General features: G+C 44.9%; 1 protein-coding gene across 18 annotated transcripts in view, besides 2 other annotated features; it reads left to right on the forward strand.

Moving 5' to 3' along the window:
• Positions 1 to 25,743, forward strand: part of MSH2 (mutS homolog 2) — a 306,764-nt gene that overhangs the window by 260,523 nt on the left and 20,498 nt on the right. For 6 of the 18 annotated variants that reach the window (NR_176244.1, NR_176248.1, NR_176245.1 and 3 more), the window contains 2 exons: positions 14,660 to 14,742; positions 15,511 to 15,631. The exons of 1 other annotated variant lie outside the window; for it this stretch is intronic. Coding sequence is in view for 5 of the 17 variants with exons in the window: in NM_001406633.1 (NP_001393562.1) it covers positions 14,660 to 14,693 (34 nt within the window). In the remaining 12 variants the exon portion in view is untranslated. Of the gene's footprint in view, positions 1 to 1,755; positions 1,810 to 12,834; positions 13,115 to 14,659; positions 14,743 to 15,510; positions 15,632 to 25,743 lie in introns of those variants that run through there. 11 more of the 18 variants (NR_176242.1, NM_001406635.1, NM_001406640.1 and 8 more) reach the window with 4 other exon arrangements.
• Positions 399 to 900: an enhancer, noted in NCBI's record as "H3K27ac hESC enhancer chr2:47891127-47891628 (GRCh37/hg19 assembly coordinates)". NCBI's record gives its function as "activates a minimal SCP1, AML or CMV promoter by ChIP-STARR-seq in naive H9 embryonic stem cells {active_cell/tissue: H9 hESC(naive)}" and the evidence as "EXISTENCE:reporter gene assay evidence [ECO:0000049][PMID:30033119]".
• Positions 901 to 1,400: an enhancer, noted in NCBI's record as "H3K27ac hESC enhancer chr2:47891629-47892128 (GRCh37/hg19 assembly coordinates)". NCBI's record gives its function as "activates a minimal SCP1, AML or CMV promoter by ChIP-STARR-seq in naive H9 embryonic stem cells {active_cell/tissue: H9 hESC(naive)}" and the evidence as "EXISTENCE:reporter gene assay evidence [ECO:0000049][PMID:30033119]".

The following is a 25,743-nucleotide window of genomic DNA, read 5'->3' on the forward strand; positions in this document are numbered from 1 at the left end:
CAATCTATTCTTTCTGTGCTTCTGTAAATAAGTAGGCCAAATACAATGATTCTAAACTGACTTTTGCAAACAAATTAGTCTTACTGTGATTATCTGTGATTGAAATAGGGGTTACTTTAGAGAGAAAAATTATGTTTCAAGAGAGAATTACACTGCATCGTTATTAGATTTGTTAAATCAAGTTTAGCCTAAAGCTGCCTTATTACATATTTCAATACACTTGGTCTCTACCAGAGAGCTCCCCCTTTTTCCTCTAACCATTGGCAACTCAAAACCCAAAATCCAATCTCATGACTTTTGAGTTTATAGTAGGGTGAGAAAACGGTATGTGCTATCTTACCAGGCAACACCAGAATCCTGCTTAGAAAGGAAATTGTCTTGGTTTAGGAAAATACTGTTACAACCATCTGGTTATGAGAAGGTAGGCCCCGAGGCAGGACCTGGAAGGAAGAAGCTGTAGAAAGTGAGGGCTGAATTTCTTTTCACAAGACATGGCAGAATGGGATGGGGCTGGGGGAAGCATTTGCTCATGAAAGGGGAAGGGCAGAGAGACCCAGTGACATGGCAGAAGCAGGTTGGCAGATGCACAGTAGAGACTTTTAAACACAAGCTGTCTACGTTTTAAGATGTTTGTGTAAATTTCCTCCACTTCTTTCAGTACTTCAGTAAAGTTTTCTAAGGCCAAAATAGCCTTTATTTTTATGTATTTATTTATTTTTGAGATGAAGTCTTGCTCTGTTGCCCAGGTTGGAGTGCAGTGGCACGATCTTGGCTCACTGCAACCTTCACCTCCCAGGTTCAAGCGATTCTACTGCCTCAGCCTCCTGAGTTGCTGGGATTACGGGCGCATGCCACCATGCCCGGCTAATGTTTGTATTTTTAGTAGACAAGGGGTTTCACCATGTTGGCCAGGCTGGTCTTGAACTCCTGACCTTAGGTGATCCACCCACCTTGGCCTCCCAAAGTGCTGGGATTACAGGCATGAGCCACCATGCCCGGCCCAAAAGAGCCTTTGGTGTGTGCCTTTTTACTTTTGCTTTTGCCTTTATTTGTTTTAAGATAAGCCAAGGAGAGGGGCCAAGTTCTGTGGCTGGCACAGGGCAGGGTGAGCACATTTGGGATGAAGAGATGCCTTATAAACTGCATCTGTTTCGGGGAGCCTGGAACCTGAGGTGAGTACGACACTCAGTGTTTCTCTAAGTGCTTTTCTGAACACTTTGCTCATAACTTCGTTTAATCCTCACAACAATCCAATGAGGTATAGGTCATTAACCTCGTTTTACAGATGAGGAACCCGAGGCACAGAGAGGTTACCTAACTTGCCCAAGTTCACACAGATGGTGAATTAGCATTCCAACCCAGGCAGCCTGACTCCACAGTCCCTATTCTACTCACTGAGCCACACTGCCCCCTATCCTCAGCCGGTCTGCAGTGAGATTATAAAGTCTGCCTTCTTGCCAAGAATGCAAAGAAAACTCTGGACAGGAATGGGAGTTCAAGGAGTTCTTATTGAACTCTGATGGGGACAGGGTGACCCCAGGTCACACTTGGGCTGTCCCTTGTCATTCCATTGGTCCGTGCCCTCTTCCCAACTCGGCTGGCTCCTGGAGGGTACTATCGGTACAATGTGCCTTTACCAAATAATATCATACCCCACATTTGTAGTGGGATTTATACTTTGTCTATGGCCTTTCCCATATATGATCTAATTTAATTCACACAATGATAGACAGAAATCATTGTCTCTATTTACAGATGAGGAAATTGAGGCTTAGAGAAGCCGCATGGCTTGCCTGCATCATATAGCTGGTAAGTGACAGAATTCTGAGCTGGAACATAAGAATTTTTTTCTTTCTGTTCCTCTGTGCTCCTCAGTAGTTTAACTTATTTTAAAACAGTACCACATCCCCCTCCCCTCAAGAAACTACTGTCTAATTTTCTTTCCATTTTGAAAGCACAGGCCCCCTTTGCAAATGGTCTTTTTTTTTTTTTTTTTTTTTTGAGACGGAGTCTCGCTCTGTCACCCAGGCTGGAGTGCAGTGGCACAATCTCGGCTCACTGCAAGCTCCGCCTCCCGGGTTCACGCCATTCTCCTGCCTCAGCCTCCCGAGTAGCTGGGACTACAGGTGTCTGCCACCACACTCAGCTAATTTTTTGTATTTTTAGTAGAGATGGGGTTTCGCCATGTTAGCCAGGATGGTCTGGATCTCCTGACCTTGTGATCCACCCACCTCGGCCTCCCAAAGTGCTGGGATTACAGGCGTGAGCCAGCGCACCCGGCCTGCAAATGGTCCTGAGCTGGAAATACACAGTATCAGGATTATTTCCTCAGCTTCAGGGCAAGACTCCTTGGGATTCAGCATTAACCACTAATCTTGGGTTTGTCCTTCCTGAAAAAGACTCTGGTCACGGGATAATTGTTGCACGTTCATCCCCAAGGCCATTTTTATATAAGTGCAGAGTTGACACTCAAGCTCTCGCTGTTCTGATTAACATTGCTCCTTGCAAAGAAAGAAAAATGGCCTTCGATTAACTTCTGCTCCAGCTCAGAGACAGCCCAGTCCAATCAAAAGCCACTTTAGCTAAGGGAGAAAGGGGTGGCACAGAGCAGCCATCTCCCTGATCCTAATTGATTTTTTCCTTCCAATTTCTCCTTTATTTAAGAACCTCTTCCTCAGAAATGATAGACTGATGGCATTGTCTTGTATCCAGGGACCTTCTCAGCAAATGCATCCAAGGCTTTGAACAAAGGGGCAGCTGTCCATCTAAATGCTGCAGGCTTTCACAATCATGAGGTGTAGGAAATACTACCCAAAAATATGGCATCTTGGAAACAGAAAAAAGCAGAAGGAGAAAGGTCACTCTCACCTTCCCCTGCCCTTCTTGCCTGAAGACTTTCATGTGACAATTGTCCTACCCTATACCCAGAGGAAAGGAATGTCACACAGAGATGCCACAAAGCACCTGAGCAAACAGATCTTGCTGAGTTCCCCCCAGTTTATTCCCATTAGGTCATGTCCTTCTGTCTTCCCATCATGCTTCTGTATGACTGTCTATTCTTCAGACCTAAGCATAAATATTCACAGATTTCCTTGTTTCATTGGGTCTTCATTTCTGAAGATTCTTGTGTCACATAAAACTTGTATTAAGCAAATGTTTTATGCTTTTCTCTTATTAATCTATCTTTTGTTAGAGGGGTTTCAGCTATGAATCTATCTATGAATGAGGAAAATATATTACTTTTTCTCCCTTACAAAAAGGCACCCACTCCCAAGAAACTAGAATCAGGCCAGTCGCGGTGGCTCATGCCTGTAATCCCAGCACTTTGGGAGGCCAAGGCAGGTGGATCACTTGAGGTCAGGAGTTTGAGACCAGCCTGGCCAACATGGTGAAACCCTGTCTCTACTAAAAATACAAAAAATTAGCCAGGCGTAGTGGCCCACACCTGTAATCCCAGCTACTTAGGAGGCTGAGGCAGGAGAATCACTTGAACTCGGGAGGTGGAGGTTGCAGTGAGCCAAGATCTGCCACTGCACTCTAGCCTGGGCAACAGAGCAAGACTCCGTCTCAAAAAAATAAAATCAAGCATTTCTTGAGTACCCAGGGCATGCTTCAAGCCATACTTGATGCCAGGGAAGGCAAAGACATGGTCCCTGCCCTTGAGGAGCTCACAGGCAAGTATAAGGGGAGTGTAGCGGGGATGCAGCTAATACACAGGAAGAATTGCAAGGAAAACAGTCTGGAGATCAGAGAAGAGAGTTAATGATGGCTGTGCTGCTACTGGGGAGGCTTTTGGGAGGAGTAAAACTTCATTTGAGCCTTGAAGCTCTCATTCATTCAACATGAGCTTCCAGAACATGCCAGGCCCTGGGGAAATAGCAGCAAAGGGAACAGATAAAAATTCCTGCCATCCTGGTGTGGAGAGGGACAATAAGAAAACTATAGAGCAAATTGGAAGACATTGAGTGTGGAGAAGTGAAGCAAGGCACGACTTGGGGTCAGGAAGAGGTTGCAGTTTTAGAAGAGGTATCCAAAGAAAGCCTCACTGCGAAAACAAGTTTTGAGGCCAGGCGCGGTGGCTCATGCCTATAATCCCAGTACTTTGGGAGGCCGAAGCAGGCAGATCACGAGGTCAGGAGTTTGAGACCAGCCTGGCCAGCATGGTGAAACCCCGTCTCTACTAAAATACAAAAAATTAGCCAGGCATGGTGGTGTGTGCCTGTAGTCCCAGCTACTCAGGAGGCTGAGGCAGGAGGACTGCTTGAACCTGGCAGGCAGAGGTTGCAGTGAGCTGAGATCACACCACTGCCCTCCAGCCTGGGTGACAGAGCGAGACTCCATCTAAAACAAAACAACAACAACAACAACAAAAAAAAAAAAAAAAAAAAACAGAAAACAAGCTTTATGTCAAAGTCTGAGGGAGGTAAGGGAGCAGGCCTTGCGGATATGTTCTAGGACGAAGCAACAGAAAGGTCAAAGGAGATGAGCTGGTGTGTGCCTGGAGTTTCTGAGAAATGGCAAAGTTAGAGGATGGACTCTCTCCTGGCCAGGGGCTATGAGGAGGGGAGGATCTGTTTGTTTTTTCAAAGGAGTTCCTCTGGGAGCAATACCGGAAGCATCTGGAAACCTCCACTTCAGCTACCTGGGTGTGTGGGCAGCAGAGTTGGCTAGAAGGTGGGTGTGGGGGAGGAGGGGCAAAATTATGCAGTGGTCTCAGCAGCCACTTTGCTCTTCAAGGGACACTGTGTAAGAGTCAGGAGCAGAGGAGAAGACAAGATCAGACTTTGGTTTTAAAGGGATTACTCTGTGTTACAAACAGACTAGAGGGGGCCATGATGAAAGCAGGCAGAAACATTGTTACCAAGCAGTGGGCTTACTGCCTGGCATGCATAGAAAGCCAATGCTGCCAGGTGTGGTGGCTCACGCCTGTAATCCCAGCACTTTGGGAGGCCAAGGCGGGTGGATCATGAGGTCAGGAGATTAAGACCATCCTGGCTAACACAGTGAAACCCCGTCTCTACTAAAAGTACAAAAAAAATTAGCCGGGTGTGGTGGCGGGCTCCTGTAGTCCCAGCTACTCAGGAGGCTGAGGCAGGAGAATGGCGTGAACCCGGGAGGTGGAGCTTGCAATGAGCTGAGATCGCACCACTGCACTCCAGCCTGGGCGACAGAGCAAGACTCCGTCTCGGAAAAAAAAAAATAGAATTTGCAGGAGTTCTAGAACAGTATGGGCAACATAGCGAGACACTGTCTCTACAAAATAAATAAATAAATAAGCTGGGCATGGTAGCACAGAGCTGTAGTCCCAGCTACTTGAGAAACTGAGACGGGAGGATCCCTTGAGCCCAGGAGGTCAAGGCTGCAATGAGGTATGATGGCACCACTGCACTGTAGCCTGGGTGAAGCAAAACTCCATCCCAAAATATAAATAAATAAATAAATAATTAAAGCCAATGCTATGGCACTGGCTTCTCAGAAAAGAAAGGCTTTAGTGCAAGGTGGACCAGCAAGGAGACAGGAGACGCAGCTCAAATGTGTCTCTGCGATTTGAGGTCTGGGGAAAGCTTTAAGGAGCTGATGTGCAAGGGAAAATATTATAGACGTTGGGTTGGCAGGGTCTGATTGGAGAGCTTCAAATGTGATCATTTATGGTAAGGTATGTGGAGGCAGATTTCAGCATCAGATTTTCCTGGCCAATGGACCCTCACTTCTGAAAGAGTTTTGGTGTTCAGGTTCTGGTCATATATTTCTGGTTCCATAGGAAGAAACCATTGGTTCTAAGTGTCGTTAGAGGTCAAAGCTTTTTCTATTGTGCATGCCCAAGCTACATCACTTGCAGTTTGGGCTGTGTTATACCTAAAAGATAACTAGACTGCAGTTACATTAAGCACAAGAGAGTTGGTAAGTGCATGCTTAATTTAAAAGAAACTGCCAAACCATGTTCCAAAGTGACTGCACATTTTGCATTCCCAACAGCAATGTGTGAGGGGCCATTTGTTCCACTGTAGGGACTGAGGGAAAGCTTCTCCTTCATCCTCTGAAGGTTTGCTGAAAAGCAACTGACAAAAGACAAATGAATAGAAGAAAAGACAGACAAAATTTAATGTCCATAGCACAGGGAAATTGCAAGAGAATGATGACTCAATAACCCAATGGGGTACAGAGGCATATGTACCCTTTTTGATAGAGTAAGGGGAGGTAAGAGAAATGTGGCAATTTTGGGGATAGTACATGATAGTTAGAGGAATGTAATGGCCTTGGAGAACATATAATGGCCGAGGACTAAGTTTATTGGGCCCGCAAAGCAGACAATAGTTTGTGACAAAAATCTGTTCAGGTGTGTTGACAGACTTCAGTCTCTCTTCCTGAGATGTGAGTTAAATTAATGAAAACTCAGGGAAGAAACCAGAAGTAATAGTTTTCTTCTTTGGCAGGTTCAGACTTTAGGTAGATAAGGGAATAGCAGAGTAAAGCTTCTTCCACCATCTGCTGGTCTCCAAGGGCCTTTAATTCATTAATTGTTGAGAGAGGACCTCACTCTGGCACCCAGGCTGGAGTGCAGTGGTGCTGTCTTGGCTCACTGCAACCTTGACCTTCTGGGCTCCAGTGATCCTCCCACCTCAGCCTCCTAAGAAGCTGGGAGTACAGGCACGTGCCACAATGCCCAGCCAACTTTTTGTGTATATATATATATATATATATATATATATATATATATATATATATATTTTTTTTTTTTTTTTTTTGATAGAGACAGGGTTTTGCCATGTTGCCCAGCCTGATCTCAAACTCCTGAGCTCAAGCGATCAGCCCACCTCAGCCTCCCAAAGTGCTGACATTATAGCCACACGCGCAGCCATTAATATAAAGTAATCTGCAATACTACGGTGCCATATTTTGGGATGAAATTCCCTAGTCTCCTTCATTTCCCCAGTCTGAAACTTCCCTAGAAGTTTTGTACACTATAAGTTGAGTTATGGTTGTGGAGAGAGAAATCAGGTTAGTAACTGAGTGGTAAAATATCCAATTAAACCAGTCTCTCATTTCTGGGAATAGGCCAGTCCAATTAAACAGTTGTGTCTCATTTTAGAAAATGGAGTTGCAGATGGGATCTCAAAGCTAGGCCTCTATATATGACGCAGGCAAATATATCCTTAATAGGAGGCATTTTTATGGAAACAGAAGAAAAACAAAGGCCAATGTCTGGAGTGGTCTACGAACTAGTCCCTCTAGAGTCTGGAAGACAGTTAGGTCAGAAGACCAGTAGCTAGCTGACAGATTTTTTCTAGATTACAGTTGGCATGTAAATTTTCTTCAAATATAAGCTGTTGCATTGATTCTTTTTCAAAACCAAGTTTATTAGCTTAGGCTTGTAAGGCCTCATGAAAAAGACAGTTTTAATTTCAGTGAGTCCAAGTCAGAAAATTGGGATAAAAATTTGGAAAAGTTAGTTTGTAGACTTATAGCCAGGAAAATATTCAGGGTTCAGTACAAATTGTAGGCAAATAATGCAAATTCAAAAACAATGAACAGGGCTGGACTCTTACAACAGGTACACTATAGTTTTCTTCTGAAACATATTTTTCTCCTCTCCAGTTGTCATTTCTACCAAATCATAGTAAGATCAATTTCTTTGCAAAATAAGTTTAGTCTTTGGCCTGATTACATACATAAGTTTAGCAAGAATAGTGATTTATCTTATAGGCTCTTTTTTTTTTTTTTGAGATGGAGTCTCACTCTCTCGCATAGGCTGGAGTGCAGTGGCGCGATCTCAGCTCACTGCAACCTCCATCTCCTGGGTTCAAGCGATTGTCCTGCCTCGGCCTCCCTAGTAGCTGGGACTACAGGTGTGTTCCACCAGGCCCAGATAATTTTTGTGTTTTTAGTAGAGACGGGGTTTTGCCATGTTGGCCAGGCTGCTCCCAAACTTCTGACCTCAGGTGATCCACTCGCATCAGCCTCCCAAAGTGTTGGGATTACAGGTGTGAGCCACCATGCCTGGCCAATATAGGCTGTTTTTAAAAGCTTTGCTGGAACTTTTCATAAGGAATCTCAGATTAGACTTTTTAAAGCCTCTCAAGGCTACGAAGCCAAGCCAAGGATTTGACTCATCCTTAGACTATGTCTGTAACACCTGTACAAACTGGATTAATTTCTCTCTTCTTGAGATCCCCAAAATATCCTGAAGTTCCTAGGCCTGTCAGAAAGTGGCATTCTTTACTTACCACAGGGCAACCATGTGAACCATGTATTTAAGGTACTAGGCCAGTTTTTCCAGGAACTTCTATTGGCTTCATAATGCCAACCTCAATTTTTTAAAGCTGTTTGGTCATATCTGAAAATATGACATTCCAGTCAAAGCTTCAGTAAAAAAGAACAAAAACAAACAACAGAATGTCTCCAATCGTGTTGTTAGAAGAACAGATTATTGAACTTATACAAATAAATTTTTATAGTAAACTATATTGCCTTGTACTTACTATATTGCCATAAAATATGAATACTCACAAATAGTTTCCAAATTCTGAAAAAATCAGGCATAAAGAAACATCCGGCCGGGCGCGGTGGCTCACGCCTGTAATCCCAGCACTTTGGGAGGCCGAGGCGGGCGGATCACGAGGTCAGGAGATCGAGACCATCCCGGCTAAAACGGTGAAACCTCGTCTCTACTAAAAATACAAAAAATTAGCCGGGCGTAGTGGCGGGCGCCTGTAGTCCCAGCTACTTGGGAGGCTGAGGCAGGAGAATGGCGTTAACCCGGGAGGCGGAGCTTGCAGTGAGCCGAGATCCCGCCACTGCACTCCAGCCTGGGCGACAGAGCGAGACTCTGTCTCAAAAAAAAAAAAAAAAAGAAACATCCATGTTTCAATTTTGTTCATAAAAGTATACTTTATATGGCTGGGCACGGTGGCTCACCCCTGTAATCCCAGCACTTTGGGAGGCCGAGGCAGGCGGATAACGAGGTCAGGAGATCGAGACCATCCTGACTAACACAGTGAAACCCCTTCGTTCGGGCATGGTGGCAGATGCCTGTAGTCCCAGCTACTCGGGAGGCTGAGGCAGGAGAATGGTGTGAACCCGGGAGGCGGAGCTTGCAGTGAGCCAAGATCGTACCACTACACTCCAGCCTGGGCAGCAGAGCAAGATTCTGTCTCAAAAAAAAAAAAAAAAAAAAAAAAAAAAAAGAACAAGTATACTTTATATTATTCCTGTAAAGCTTAAGAGGAAAAAAAAAAGTTTCCTTAACTCCGGAAAACAAAAAGAACAAAACATAAAAAGAATCAGCAATGTTTCAAACAAAAAAGTCATTAAAAATCATTTTAGTCCTTCATCATTTCAGTCCCATGTGATTAATTCTTTTACTTCTTCTTCTTCTTTTTTCCTTTTTTTTTTTCGAGACGGAGTCTTGCTCTGTCACCCAGGCTGGAGTGCAGTAGTGCGACCTTGGTTCACTGCAACCTCTGCCTCCCGGGTTCAAGCAATTCTCCTGCCTCAGCCTCCCAAGTAGCTCGGATTACAGGCGCCTGCCACCACCACACCAAGCTAAGTTTTGTATTTTCAGTAGACATGGGGTTTCACCATGTTGGCTAAATTGGTCTCCAACTCCTGACCTCGTGATCCGCCCGCCTCGGCCTCTCAAAGTGCTGGGATTACAGGCGTGAGCCACCATGCCCAGGCTTCTTCTTGTTTTAAATAGAGACAGGGTCTCACTATGTTGCCCAGGCTGTCTCAAATACCTGAGCTCAAGTGATCCTCCCTTCTCGGCCTGCCAAAGAGCTGGGGTTACAGGCATGAGCCACTGTGCTCAGCTGCATGTAATTAATTCTTGTTCTATTTGTGGTTAGGTTAGTCTAAGCTTTATGAGTCCAGTTTTGTGGGGGTTTTTTTCATTAGCGTTATGGAAATTTTCACCCAGTTTAATGATAGGATCTCAAAGTTGTCAGAAACCTGTATTTGTCAGCATTCTTTCCATCCTTTCCGTGAACCTCCTTGAAGAAGCAATACTTAAGGATTTGTAAAGAGTTTTCAGGGGGGAAAAAAAGCATCCAAATAAAGCTTGTTGTCTATTTAACTGTGGACAACAAGATTTTAAATGCTCATGGTTAAAGATATGATAAAAATTCATAATAATAATCATGCAATTGATGAGGAAATTTGGCTATTTCTGTAGCAAACAACAATTTAACATTAGAATTATGACTGATGGTACGTACTAAAACATAGATTTCTAGGAATCTCATATGCTTTTGGAACACACATTAATAACACACCTGTACAAGGATACTCACACCTGTACAAGGATACTCACACCTGTACAAGGATTATTTATTTGACAGTGCTTCTTGTATGATGCAGATTGTACTTCCCAGCCTCCCTTGCATCGGGGGGGAAGTGAGGCACCAAATTCTAGCCAATGAGATGAGGTATTTGAGCCAATAGCCAATGAGGTAGTTGAGAGCTGTTCCCAAAGCCTGCTTTACAGGGCTGCTAGCTCGTCCTCTTTGACCTTTCTCAATGTCCTCTCCATCTGGCTTGTTCCACGGAACATGAAAACCACCTTAGACCACACCCTAAAGATGACAGATGCCAGAGCTAGAAGGACCCTGAGCGCCTGGCACCATGGAGTGCTCTAGCAGCCCCCGGACTGCCAACCTCCCAACTTCTTGAGAGAGAAAGGGACATAATTTCTCGTTGGTTTATGCCATCACTGTTTGCTGTGTTGTTGTTGTTGTTGTTACTCTCATCTGAACTATTGTTGAACATCATCTGAACTGATATGGGGAGTGGTTGCCTAACAGATAACCAACAGTGTCTGCTGTTAAGAGCTTCTTGGAGGCCAGGCATGACGGCTCATCCCTGTAATCCCAACTCTCTGGGAGGCTGAGGTAGGAGGATCACTTGAGGCCGGGATTTGAAGACCAGCCTGGACAACATAGTGAGACTCCATCTCTACAAAAAAATTCTAAAAAAAAGTTAGCTAGGCACGGTGGTATACGCTTTCAGTCCCAGCTACTCAGGAGGTTGAGGAGCGAGGATCACCAGAGCCCAGCAGATCGAGGCTGCAGTGAGCCATGATTGTGTTGCTGCACTCCAGCCTGGGTGACAGAGTGAGACCCTGTCTGGAAAAAAAAAAAAAAAGAGCTTCTTGGAAGAGGGCACATAACTTAGCCTCCAGATGAGTAGGATATAGAGAATCAGGGACCAGAACAGTGAACATTCTAGAGTGAGGCAGGATAAGAAGTGAGCCTGGCTTAGAGGCCCAGATTGCAGAGGGTTAGTGGGGCCAGATTGTAGGAAGACTTTGACCATTCCATTGAGACGTGTGCTGGTCCTTCTAAGCCAGGAGAATCTGGACTATTTTGAATGGCCCCTGGAGAAAGCTCATCCCTGTGTTTAACTTAAATGTACCATGTTTCAGTTTGAATCTCTCTTGCCTTATTCACAGTGGATCAAGCCTGGCTTCACCACAGGAAAGCTGAGCCTCTATGTTCCCTTCAACATTATTAAATGTCACCCTCTATCACCACACAGACAGGAAAAGCCCATTTCTTAAAATGATTAAAGCCTCAGTCTTAACCTGTCACATCTAGTACTCAAGATATGGGATTGTCATCCCAAACATCCAAATCCCAGACCAGACTGAAGGAACTGGCAAGGGCAGGAGCCCATCTCCTTCCTTAGCACCTGGCCAAGGCCTGGCCAGAGCTGGGCTCTTCCTTGTTGAGCAACGCCTTCCTCCCTTCCATCTCCCTTCACTCTGCACCAGAGGAGCCAGGAACTAGACCCAACCCCCTCCGGCAGCTGAGCCTAGCTGGACACATGGCAGAACTGTCCAGAGGGGAGTTCATGTCCTGTCCTCCCTCCTGCTTCTCAGAAGCCTCCCTGATATCAATTATCTGAGAGGCAAGACCATAAACCACTGGAACAGCCAGTCCCAGAGTCAAGAGAACATCTTCACTCTTCTGAGCTGCCCAGGCCCCCAGGCCCAGCTGCCAAGGATTTTCTGCACCTTGAAGTGCAAAACAAACAAGTGTTACTGTTTTCATGTGAACTACCTCAATGCACTCTGCTGGCCTTGCACTGGGGCTTTGTAGGTGTATGACTGGGGGAAAAAAGACAGAGCTTTTTCCCTGAGGTCAATCAATGTGCTCTGGACACTGGCCAAGGATGCCTGGTAGCTGGTTCTGTTCAGTTGCAGGGAGGCAGTGAGGGCAGATGGGGAAGAAGGAAGGAGGGTGGGATGGGGGTGCTATTCTCCACCTAGGGATCTGCAGGTCACTGCCCTGAGCACCATTCCCAGCCTTTTCCCACCAAGGACACCTGGGAAGATTTTATCTAGAAGGCAAACTGGATTTTTTTCTAATAATCAATTTGCTTCCAAGTTTTCCTTACCTAGAAGCCATTCTAGTCACCAAGCCAGCTTCAGGTGAGTATGAAATGAACAAGGTTGTTACACAGGTGATGTAATTCCAGCTCAAAGTAAAGAGGCTGGGGCTTCAGTTCGCAGGACAGCCTCATCCTGGGGAATGTTAAGATTTCATTTAGGCTTTATGGAATACTGAAAGTATCTATCTGGTGGGAAATAAAAATAAAATCCTCAGTCCCCCAACCGAATGAACGAACCCCCTCTTGGCCAAGGAGATGGCAGAGAAACCTTGAAAACTGAGTTCCTGGCCATGGCAGCATGGGGGGCTGGACACGCCTCGTTATACCCCCTCCCTCACTACTGCCATTAGGCTTTCTTCCCTAAGGGTTCAACAGAAACCAGCCCTTTTGAAAGACTCACTCCACTGCTGATTTCAACCAGCCACATGACTGCCCTCTCTTTTGCAGTTTCCACGCAATGGGCCAGAATTCCTTCCTGATAAGAGACCACTAACCACAAAGTGGTGTTGGCCATCTATGGACGCTGCAGACAGGGTTTTCGTGTCCTCTGCTTCACCTTTTGACATCAGAAAGTGGAAAACTCCACCCTGAGATCATGCTAACCCTACTGTTTTTTGTACATGTGACCCATGAAGGGGCATGAAGCTCAGTTATGCATGTGTAGGTTTCTCCATTCATAAATGTTCATCACTCCTCTTGTAGCTTATTAAATATGTATATTCAACCACCCTGCTCAGCATAAATTTCTGCTCCCTTTACCCCTCCCTTAAAGTGCCTGTTTCTGGCTTCTGGCCAGAGGCTACAGTTCCCAGCCCATCAGAATGGCCACCCTGCATGCTGCAGCTCTTTATAAGAAACAAAGCTCTGCTTTCCAAATTTATGAACCTTGTCATTCTTCAGTGGACACCGGCAACATCCCCTCCATTCCCACCCTGACTCTTGCCTAGGTTGAGAACCGGGGCCTTAACTCCAAGAAATGACTTTAGGCCAGGTGCATTAGCTCACACCTGTAATCCCAGGACTTTGGGAGGCCCAGACAGGAGGATTGCTTGAACCCAGAAGTTCAAGATGAGCCTGGGCAACATGGTGAAACCCTGTCTCTACAAAAAAAAAATCCAAAAAATTAGCTGGGTGTGGTGGTGTGCACCTGTGGTCCCAGCTACTTGGGAGGCTGAGGTGGGAGAATCACTTGAGCCTGGGCAAGAGAGTGAGAACTTGTCTCAAAAAAAAAAAAAAAAAAAAGAAAGAAAAAGAAAGAAAAGAAAAGAAAAGAAAAAAAAGAAATGACTTTGTACTGCAGCCCTTTGAGCAAGTGTTTCAGTCTGTCATTCAGAGCATCCCAGGGTACCCCGATCATCTGCAGTGTCTCAGGGTGAGTCCTGACCTAGGGTGTCACATTCCTAGAAATTCCAGCAAGCTCTTCCTACACCCAATGGATAGTGGGAAAAGCAGGGTATGTGTTTGCAGTGGAGTGTGGAAAGGGGGAGGGGGCTTTGGTATCTTGAGAAAGCTAATTTCATAACTAATTAAATCAGAAAAGATGTGGAAAATCCTAGCACCAATTTCCAATCCTCTTCACAACATTCCTCATACCTTCAGATGGCACAAAGTGTTGTTTTATACAAAGAGGAGAATAGTAGGTGTTCTGAGACTTTCTCCATCTCTGAGAGGTACTAAGTATGCTTGGGTTTCAAGTTCTTCTCCCTCCCTTACTTACTGTGTGATCTTGGGCACATTACTCAGCCTCTCAGGACCTTATTTACTTACCTGAAAAACAGTGTTGTTCTGAACATCAAATGAAAAATTCACATAGAGCATTTAGTGTCTGTGACATATAATAAGCATTCAAGGCATGGTAACTCTTACTATCTCATTTATCACAAATAATATTCTCTGCCTTTATTATCCTCTCCTCCCACCCCCATCTCCTCCCAAGAGGCTGACATGTGACTCCTGGTCTGCCAGGAGCAATGCCTTCCCTGCTGGAGCTCCCGGAGGGCAGGGAGATGTCCCCTCTTTCCTCTGTGCCACCCATCCCCATTTCTCCACACCATGCCAGTGCTGGACTCAACTTGATGAGGACTCCCTGACCGCTGATGTATTATCTAACAGCATCAAACTTGGGAGATTTTCCTGCAGGAACCCTTGAATCTGTTGTCAGTTTGAAGGAGGCAAGCAATTCCAACTGAGAAAAGTCACCCAGGGAAAGGGTGTAAAGGGGGCAAGACTTTTGGGAGGGCATCACATCTCCATCTGGTGCTTCATTTCCTAGGCCTGAAATTCATTGCTTGTGTACCCAGAAGTGATCAGTCTCTACAGATCATCTCACATAGCCAAGCTCACAAAGATTGACAGGTGAGACAAGCACATGGAAAGCCAAATGGTCACCAGAGGTTGCTTGGTGGGTGTTAGACTCTGGGTAGGTAAAGAGTGTTTGATGATCCTAATGGCTGAAATCAGCAGAGAGCTCAATATAAGGCCTCTATATTGCAGCATTCCAGGGGGTGCCATTCTCATGGTTGATGATGAAAAGAGAGCCCCTTCCTGTGGAGTTGTTCAGTGCACACAGCCCTTCCCAGACCCCAGTCCTGAGAAAACAAGAAATTCAAAATCTAAGCTGTTGGAAGAATAAATTATTGTGAGCTTTAAAGAATGATTAAAAGCCTGAGTCCCATGACAGGCAGCTATAACCTAGGCAGTTGCAAACTTTATTTTCTCTGATTATGGATTAAGCCTTCTTCCTTGCCTACATTGTTTTGTAAAATGCTGTAAATGGCTGAAGGGTGCCAGGGAAGACCCCTTTTCTCTTACTGTTGACTTTCTTTTCTTTTCCTTTCTTTCTTCCTTTTTTTTTTTTTTTTTTTTTGGTTGACTTTCATTATCAATCTCCCTCTTACCTTTCTCACACAAAGACTTCATAGCTACCACATTTTAAGATGGAATGTTAAATATACCCTTTTGAGTTGGAAAGAAAATGAAAACTAGATGTAAAAAAAAAAAAAAAGAAAGAAAACAGGCCATAGTGAGGGAAACCATACTGTAACTAACTAGTTAGTTCATTGTAACTCTTAAGCCAACCTTGCATTGAAAACATTGTAATCCTATTAAACTTCTTTGTTGCAGTGGCTCACGCCTGTAATCCCAGCACTTTGGGAGGATGAGGCAGGAGGATCATCTGAATTCAGGAGTTCGAGACCAGCCTGGCCAACATGGTGAAACCCCGTTTCTACTAAAAATACAAAAATTAGCCTGGTGTGGTGGTGGGTACCTGTAATCCCAGCTACTGGGGAGGCTGAGACATGAGAATCTCTTGAACCTGGGAGGCGAAGGTTTCAGTGAGCTGAGATCGCGCCACTGCACTTCAGCCTAGGTGACAGAGCAAGACCCTGTCTCAAAAAAAAAAAAAAAAAATGCTCTTCATTGAATACTCCTGATATGTCAAGGAAGATGCAACCTGAGAACTGAGCGAAACTTAGCAACATGGAGGGCGTTGGCAAGCTCAAAATTCAGTGGAGGGGGTATAAACCTGATTGGAAGGTTCAAAAGAAAATGGACGGAGAGGAATCAATGAGAAAAATGGGGTAGCAGTTGAAGGGGGATATGGATCAAGAGAGAAAAGCAACTTTTTTTAGCTGAGAAATTATATTTATAATATTTGTTAGAACATATTATTTTCATAATATTTGTATGTTATGGAGAGTGATCCAGTAAAGAAGAAAGTATGCTGATGTAGGGAGGAGGAACCATTGCTGAGTTCTTGAATTGATGGGCAGAGCAGGGTCTCAGGCACAAGTGGAAAGGGAAGATTAACTTTATGAAAACGGAGGCAGTTCATCTATAGTAATAGCCAGGAAGGCAGAGGTCATGGCACTGATGCAGGTAGGTGGGTAACTGAAGTGATGAGAGAGTCTGAAGATGTTCTTACTTCAATTTTCTTGGCAAAATAGAAAGGTATGTACATACATGCATGTTCATGTATGTTTATGTAAGCAAACACCAGGAGTCTAGTCTATAGTAGCATCTGGCTACTTAGGTGAGCATGACAGTGAGGAGAGAGATCCATAAAGTGACTGCCTACAGAGCTGGCTGCACTCCAGGAATCAGCCATCAAAGACGGGGAAGGGTCCGACCAGGCAGGACAGAACACTTTCAGTGGTGATCCTGCATGGGAGGGACAGCAGCAAGCAACCCTTCTCTGTGAGGACTGACCCCTGGGAGTGAGTGGGCTGTGGAACTCATCGCAAAAGGGTGGGATCTTCAGGAGAACTCTGAAATATCAGTTTGAATATTAAAAGAGAAGTGTCCTTATTTTGTTACCCAAAATGACAAATCAGAATATCTTGGTTATACTTATTTCCATATTCTCTGGGTATTTTGAAGATAACTGAAGTATGTACTTAACACCTTAGCAAGTACCTGGGTTACGGTAAGTGTCTGGTAACTCACAGCCATTGTGGTGATGATAATATCATTGGATGCCCATTCATCCACAATGGTTGATCCTGGGGGTGAGGGACTGTCTTATTTTCCATCATAGCATAGTCCCTGACACTTGAAAGGAAAGCAACATTTGTTAAATTGATAAACAAAAATGATTGAATCCCTGTGATCTACAGTGGTCTGGGAACGCATCATAGAGGAAGTAAGCTGGACCTTAAAAAATTAATTTTCCTGCTTTCTATTTCCATATGTTATCTACTCTAGGGTGAGGGTTCAACCCTTTGGGTTTCATTTACTTTGTTTATTTTTTATTTATTTAGTTTTTGAGACTGAGTCTCACTCTTTCACCCAGGCTGGAGTGCAGTGGCACGATCTAGGCTCACTGCAACCTCCACCTCCTGGGTTCAAGCAATTCTTCTGCCTCAGCCTCCCGAGTAGCTGGGATTACAGATGTCCACCACCACACTTGGTTAATTTTTTGTATTTTTAGTAGAGATGGGGTTTCACCATGTTGGCCAGGCTGGTCTCAAACTCCTGACCTCAGGTGATCCGCCCGCCTTGGCTTCCCAAAGTGGTATTACAGACATGAGCCACTGTGCCCAGCCAGGTTTCATTTACGTTAGTTGTAAAGTAGTGATCCTTGCTCCTGAGATTGGGGCCATCTGAAGGCATATGTCCTTAGAGGTCTCTGAGGGCTTTCTGAAGGAAGCAGTGGATGCATCTCTCAGCTCCAGGTCTGATGTTCCCTGAACAACACTTGTGAACATTTACTGTGGTTTTGGGGATCGCTACCTGGGTGTTGACAGCAGCTGTACGTCGGGGCCTCAGCCCTAAATGTTCGGTTGTTACTTCAAATCCATCAAAATGTCAGGGTTTTCAGGAAAGCCACTGAGATGCCATTTCAAAGGCTTCAGTGGGAATGTGCCTTTCTTTCACTTGCCAAACTGTTAAAGCATTAGCTTGTTCAAGTTGCAAGGCCCTTAAAACCATCCATGGATTTCATGGTGTGTTTCTGGTGGTTGGTGTCAGTCCTATATTCTCCTGTTACTGTATTGCTGCTCCCCACTTTCCACCCTTACAAGCCACCACAATCTGTACCAGCAGCTCAAAATGTATGTCATCACTTGAGAGATGACAGGGCTGTGAGGTTCTTACAAATCATCTAGGCCTCATTCTCTCCATCTGTTATCACCCGATGGGTTTGTCCTGCCCACTGCACAGATGAAACCAATTCACAGAGACCATAGCATTTCAGTAAAGAGTTTAATTAATGTAAGGCCACCAAGTGGCAGGACTGGAATTATTACTCAAATCAGTCTCCCCAAGAACTCAGAGGCCAGAGATTTTATGGAAAATTTTGTGGCCATAGGGCTAGGGAATGCTGCTGATTGGCTGGAAATTAAATATCAGAGAAGTGAGGAAAATGGTCCCCATATGTTGCATCTGCCTCTGGGTGGGGGCCACAGGACCAGTTGAGTTATGAGTCACAGGTCCAGGTGTGGTCAGTCTGTTACCAGAATGCAAAAGTCTGGAAAACATCTCAAAAGACCAATTTTAGGACCAGGCATGGTGGCTCACACCTGTAATCCCAGCACTTTGACTGCTTGAGGCCAGGAGGATCGCTTGAGGCCAGGAGGATCGCTTGAGGCCAGGAGTTTGAGACCAGCCTGGGCAATACTGCAAAACTCCTCTTCACCAAAAGAAAAAATAAAAATAAAAATAAGCTGGGTGCAGATCTGCAAGTCTGTAGTCCTAGCTACTCGGGAGGCTGAGGCAGGAAGATCACTTGAGCCCAGGAGTTCGAAGCTGCAGTGAGCTATGATGGTGACACTGTACTCCAGCCTGGGAGATGGAGCAAGACCATGTCTCTTAAAGAGAGAGAGAAAGAGAGAGAGAGGAAGAAAATCAGAGCTAGATGATAGAGCAGTAAAAACAGATTGTATCTAGGACTATTACAATGCAGGAAAGATACCTCAGTATAGAACTGGGCTGAATTCCAAATACAACATGAACAACTGGAGATTTATAGCTAAAGAGCAGAGTAGGAGGTCAGTGGATCAAAAATTACTAAGAGAAAATAACAAGAGTCAAGGGAGGCTGGGCGCGGTGGCTCACGCCTGTAATCACAGCACTTTGGGAGGCCGAGGCAGGCAGATCACCTGAGTTTGAGACCAGCCTGGCCAACATGGTGAAACCCCGTCCCTACTAAAAAAATAAAAATTAGCTGGGCGTGGTGACGGGCACCTGTAATCCCAGCTACTCAGGAGGCTGAGGCAGGAGAATGGTTTGAATCTGAGAGGCAGAGGCTGCAGTGATTGCACCATTGCACTCCAGCCTGGGTGACAAGAGGGAAATTCTGTATCAAAAAAAAAAAAAAGAGTCAAGGGGATTCTGGTTAAAAAGACCTTACAGGATTCTTGATGGAGACCGACCAGGGTGACCAGATGTCACCTGGGGAGTGGTGGAGAATGGGAAATGTGGTCAGATATGGAGGGTAGGGGTTCTGGCTAAACCAATTTAGCAGGACTCTTGCTAAAACTGGGCAAGGCAAAGATGGACAGGGAAGCCCAATGGTTGAAGACTAGTTGAGAAGACAGCTCAGAAGAGCCTGACTAGCCCAAGCACGGTGGCTCACGCCTGTAATCTCAGCACTTGGGGAGGCCAAGGCGGGCAGATCACCTGAGCTCAGGAGTTCGAGACCAGCCTGGCCAACACGGTGAAACCCCATCTCTACTAAAAATACAAAATATTAGCTGGGCATGGTGGCGCATGCCTGTAGTCCGAGCTACTCGGGAGGCTGAGGCAGGAGAATTGCTTGAACCCGGCAGGTGGAGGTTGCAGTGAGCCAAGATCGTGCCATTGCCCTCCAGCCTGGGTGACAAAGCCAAAGCCAGACTCCATCTCAAAAAAAAAAAAAAAAAAAAAAAAGAGCCTGACTGACTAAAGTTTGGTCAAGTAGAAAGTCTTTGTTAAGGTAGAGGGGAGGGAAGTGAGTAAGGCTGTAAAAGGACAAGATGAGGCATCCTTGTGGTGATGAACTTGCTCTGCATCTTGACTGTATCAAGGTCAAACCTGGTTGTGATCATGCATTACAGTTGTGTGAAATGTTATTGTTAGAAGAAACTGAGTAAAGGATACACAGGGTCTCTATTATTTCTTATAAGTGCATGTGAATCTATAATTACCTCAAATTATGAAGTTACTTAAAAGCAGCATTTGAGAAGTTGGGTATTTATAGGCAATTTAATAAAGAAACATTAAAATAAGATTGCATATATATTTTATATATATATATGTTAATACCCTATAGAACAGTAAATTGAAAGCTTTGGGGTTATCTTTTATTGTATACATAAATCACATGCATTTCTGTAACACTCAAATCTTCAGGTTAATATGCTACTTCACAGAATCTGAGCCGTTAATAGTAAATAGCAAAACCAAACAAAGGCATACCATATTCACCTTAATAAAATAATGCTTAAAAGTACAGGTAGTGAATAGAAAAAAAAAACACCAAAAAAAAAAAGCATTTAAAAAACCCCAAGCAGGCCGGGCGCGATGGCTCACGCGTGTAATCCCAACACTTTGGGAGGCCAAGGCAGGTGGATCACAAGGTCAGGAGATTGAGACCATCCTGGCTAACACAGTGAAACCCCGTCTCTACTAAAAATACAAAAAAAAAATTAGCCAGGCGTGGTGGCAGGCGCCTGTAGGCCCATCTACTCTGGAGGCTGAGGCAGGAGAATGACATGAACCCAGGAGGCGGAGCTTGCAGTGAGCCAAGATTGTGCCATTGCACTCCAGCCTGGGCAACAGAGTGAGACTCTATCTCAAAAAAATAAAAAATAAATAAAATAAATAAAAAACCCCAAACAACAAAAACAGTAAAGACAGTAATCTTGGCCATATTTAGAGGTTTCAAATATATATATATATATTTGCCTTTTTTAGTTTTTCTTTATATATATATATATTTGCCTTTTTTTAGTTTTTCTTTTTTAAAATTTTATATATATAAAATTATATGTCATATATAAAATTATATATAAACAGCAAATATACTTTGGATTCTGTGAAATTTCAGGCTTCTAGGGCTGCCCACCTCTCCTCACATGGCCTAGTTCTTGTAGAGATATCCCAGATCCCAAGATGTTCAACACTCCCCTACTCCCCTCCATTTCCCACAGCCCCTGGGTTCTCACCCTATCTTCACCTATAGGTAATCCATCTCAGTTAAGATTTAGCAGGTGGTAGGGGTGAGTACCAATAGTTCTTCCCTCTGAACACATCTTTTATGCTCAGGAAAAAGAACAAGTATTTTTCTCTTCACTTAGTCTCTCAAAAGGAAGGTAATAACCAAGCCAGCGAGATCCAATGCATTGCTCAACTTGCCTAGAGAAGATTGTCTGCCCCGAAAGCATCCCCCAAAAACCATGTGAGGAAGTCCACTGGGTGCTCTGCCCTGCCTGCAAGACCCTGGGCATCCCCCCAACTTCCTCCTGGCCTTGCCCAAGCACCATCAGCTCTCCAGAGTATCCACGTCAGCCTGGCACCATCCACCAGAGTTTCAGCTCTGGGACACAGCAGCAAAGGCCCAGCCTTGAAACCAAAGAGAATCCATTAGGGAAATTAATGTGTCCAATAACTGCTGCCTCTATTTTTATTAGAACAAACTTGCTCAGGAATGGGGAATCTGTCCCTGTGGACAGCTTTTCTGGACAAGCATACTGTCTCTATCTTGTTTCTGAGATTAAAGTGGCCTCTTTATTAGAAAAGTGGTGATTTGGCCGAGCATGGTGGCTCACGCATGTAATCCTAGCACATTGGGAGGCCGAGGCGGGTGGATCATGAGGTCAGGAGATCGAGACAATCCTGGCCAATACGGTGAAACCCCGTCTCTACTAAAAATACAAAAATTAGCTGGGCGTGGTGGCAGGCGCCTGTAGTCCCAGCTACTCGGGAGGCTGAGGTAGGAGAATGGCTTGAATCCGGGAGGCGGAGGTTGCAGTGAGCCGAGATTGCGCCCTGCATTCCAACCTGGGCAACAGAGCTAGACTCTGTCTCAAAAAAAAAAAAAAAAAAAAGAAAGAAAAGTGGTGCTTCCAGCAGAGGTTTCCTTCTTCCAGCACCACTGACAGGCTCCAGTTACCCCACATCTGACCCTCTCAGACATTGGGAGGAGGAGACAGCGTGAATGGGAGGCTCAAGGGCTAGTCTCCTGCAGGGTGAGTCCTGAGCCACTGACCTGGGCTCGGTGCACTCAGGGCCACAGCCTCCTCCCTATATTGGGTTCAGGGTTTACAGTAGGTGCTCACTAAAGAATGCGTATTCAGATTAATCTGACCCCTGGTATTTTCTTTCACACTCAGCTTCTCTCAGCCTCTCCTTCTGCATTGTCCTCCCAGAATGATTAAGCCATTCTCTTTTGAGGGTTCTATTGCTGGTCACTGTTGAAAGATTTTTTTAAAGGTAAAATCATGATACTCATACAAACATAAAATAAACAGTTGTCAAATATTTTATTTAACTCATTAATTAATGAGAGAAGCAGTAGGATGGTAGAAATGATTCAAAGGAGAAGTCAAAGAACACGCATACACATAGGCAAATGGAATACTAAAATGAATTTCCAAAAACAAGCAAAATTGGTCAATGTCTGTATGTATTCCGCTGGGCAAAGTTCATTGGCATTTCTATGGACAAGGATCACTTGCAGTACTCTCAGGTCAGAAAATGAAACACTTACAGAACCTGGAAGAGTACCTGGCACAGGACATAGGACATCCGGAAATTTCTCCATATTCCAACGTCTTTCACAATTTTTTCTGACACCTTCAATTGAAAACAGGCCAGAAACCACATGGCCACCGGGACATTATCAAGCTTCTACCACCCTCACAAGCTGGTCTCTGGTTCTTTTCCTCATGGGCTCTCCAGCTGCCCTAGTCATAACAGCAGGAATTAGAGCAAAACCTTGGGCTGCTGCGGTGGCTAATGCCTGTAATCCCAGCACTTTGGGAGGCTAAGGCTGGAGGACCTCTTGAGCCCAGGTGTTCAAGACCAGCCTGGGCAATATAGTGAGAACCTGTGTCTAAATTTAAAAAAATTTTTTTTTTGAGACAGTCTTGCTCTGTCACCCAGGCTGGAGTGCAGTGGCATGATCTGGGCTTACTGCAACCTCCGTCTCCTGAGTTCAAGTGATTCTTCTCTCTCAGGAACCCCCAACCCCCGCCGCCATCATGCCCAGCTAATTTTTTGTGTTTTTAGTACAGATGGGGCTTCACCATTTTGGCCAGGCTGGTCTTGAAGTCCTGAGCTCAGGTGATCTGCCCGTCTTGGCCTCCCAAAGTGCTAGGATTACCGACACCACTGCACCTGGCCAAAAACATTTTTTTTTTATTTAAAAAAAGGCAAAACCTTCTCAGCTCCTTCTGCTCCCTTGCTGGACCTCCATAGGTTGTAGTCATATCTCAGTTATAGCCCCTTGTATTTCCTTACACTGTTATCTGTTTTCTTGTTCCTCCACCCACTCGACTATGAGCTCTTGTGGGACATGACCCCTGGTTTTGTTTGTTTGTTTGTTTGTTTAACACAAGGTCTCACTCTGTCACCCAGACTAGAGTGCAGTGATGCGATCATGGCTCACTGCAGCCTCAACCTCCTGAGCTCAGGTGATCCTCCCACCTCAGCCTCCCGAGTAGCTGGGGACTACATGTGCACGCCATCATGCCCAGCTAATTTTTAAATTTTTTGTAGAGACAGGATCTCACTATGTTGCCCTGCCTCTCCTTCTGTATGGTCCTCCCCAAATGATTAAGCCATTCTCTTTGTGGGATTCTATTGCTGGTCGCTGCTGAAAGATTTTTTTTAAAGGTAAAATGATGATACTCATACAAATATAAAACAAACAGATGTCAAAGATTTTATTTAACTCATTAATTAATGGTTGTGAACTCCTGGACTCAAGCAAACATTCCACCTTGGCCTCCCAAAGTGCTGGGATTACAGGCATAAGCCCACACCCATCCAAAACCCATGTCTTATTGTCTTTGGCCAGAATGAATAAATGTATCAGTCTGAGTCCCATCAAGAGAGAAAAAAAACAGTAGTTCAAATAGAAAAAGTTTAATATAAAGAATTATTAACCATAGGCTGGGCACGATGGCTTATGCCTGTAATCCTGGTACTTTGGGAGGCCGAGGCAGGTGGATCACCTGAGGTCAGGAGTTCGAGACCAGCCTGGCCAACATGGTGAAACCCCGTCTCTACTAAAAATACAAAAATTAGCTGGGCATGGTGGTAGGCGCCTGTAGTCTCAGCTGCTCAGGGGGGCTGAGGCAGGAGAATCGCTTGAACCCGAGAAGGGAAGGTTGCAGTGAGCTGAGATTGCACCATTGCACTCCAGCCTGGGGGACAAGAGTGAGACTTCGTCTCAAAAAAAAAACACAAAAAACAAAAAACAAAGAATTACTAACCATAACATGGAATTAGACAGAGTAACCAGAGGTGGGGTAGTAAGAAATAAAAAGAATAAAAAAGAATATAGGAATAGCAGATATAATTGATGTGATAATGGCAGATTAATATTCTTAGGCCTCTGAGCCCAAGCCTGTGCTTATACATCCAGATGGCCTGAGGCAACTGGAGAATCACAAAAGAAGTGAAAATGGCCGGTTCCTGCCTTAACTGATGACATTACCTTATGAAATTCCTTCTCTTGGCTCAGAAGCTCCCCCACTGAGCACCTTGAGACCCCCTTTGACTATAATTTTCCACTACCTACCCAAATCCTATAAAACTGCCCCATCCCTAAGTCCCTTTGCTGACTCTCTTTTTGGACTCAGCCCACCTGCACCCAGGTGATTAAAAAGCTTTATTGCTCACACAAAGCCTGTTTGGTGGTCTCTTTACATGGATGTGCATGACAAATATAATATAAAAAGCCACCACCCCAGGGCTGAGATGTAGTACTTACCCTTGGGCTGAGATATAGGCCTTGCTGGAGAAGCATGGCTGTGACTCACTAAATATCAGAGACCTCACTGAGGTGCCATGCCAGTGGAACATGCTAGAAATCTGTCTTCTGGGGTGCTGGGGAGAAGGCTGTTCACAGGGAAGTAACTCAGTGCAGACAGTTCGCTACAAAACCATCAGAATTGGATACAGGGGAAAGCTACTGTACTAGGTGCTGCTGATTACACATTGCAAGAGACAGATACTGAGGAATCCAGCTGTGCTGCTGGAGTCTGGAGAAGCTTCAAGCACTGAAGGAGCTGTGCTGGAGAAGCCACCCTTGCTGCTGGCGTGAGGCACTGGGAAACCACATCCACCGCAGAAGCCTGGTGCTGGGGCAGGCCTCGCACACCGCAGGGGCCTGCAGAGCTGGCAATGGAACCAGGAAGCAAAACCCTTTTCCTCCTGCACTCATTCTTCCCTGGCCTCTACTGACAATTAAGTGCCAGATGGCAAAGGAACAAAATAAAGAAATACTTAAAAGGCCCAGATACGTTTTCACAGAGCAGGCAAAAAAGAATGGCTTTGGAGCTGACAGGCAAAATACCAATAACCAGCACAGACTTCCGGTTCCATTCCTCAGTACATCCACCAATTCCACCCTGCAGGCCAAGCTCATCCAACCCACCTTATTTTGTTGTTCATGTTCTGTTTTGTTTTGTTTTAGGCTTTTAGCAACCTGAAGCCATGGTTTTTAGTTTCTGTCTCTAGTGAAAAGCAGAAAAGAGAGATAAAGAAGGGGCTTTGTTAGCCCAGCCAGAAACAGAAACTAAGAACCCATGGCTGTGTTCTCTCTCGGACACCCCTGTTTAGGCCATTTCCTGCTACTGATTACCTGTTGAATGAAGAATGAATGGCCAGGTGTGGTGGCTCACTATAATCTCAGCACTTTGGGAGGCC

The sequence above is a fragment of the Homo sapiens genome, chromosome 2, assembly GCF_000001405.40.
Source record: "Homo sapiens chromosome 2, GRCh38.p14 Primary Assembly".
In the NCBI taxonomy this organism is placed as follows: Eukaryota; Metazoa; Chordata; class Mammalia; order Primates; family Hominidae; genus Homo; species Homo sapiens.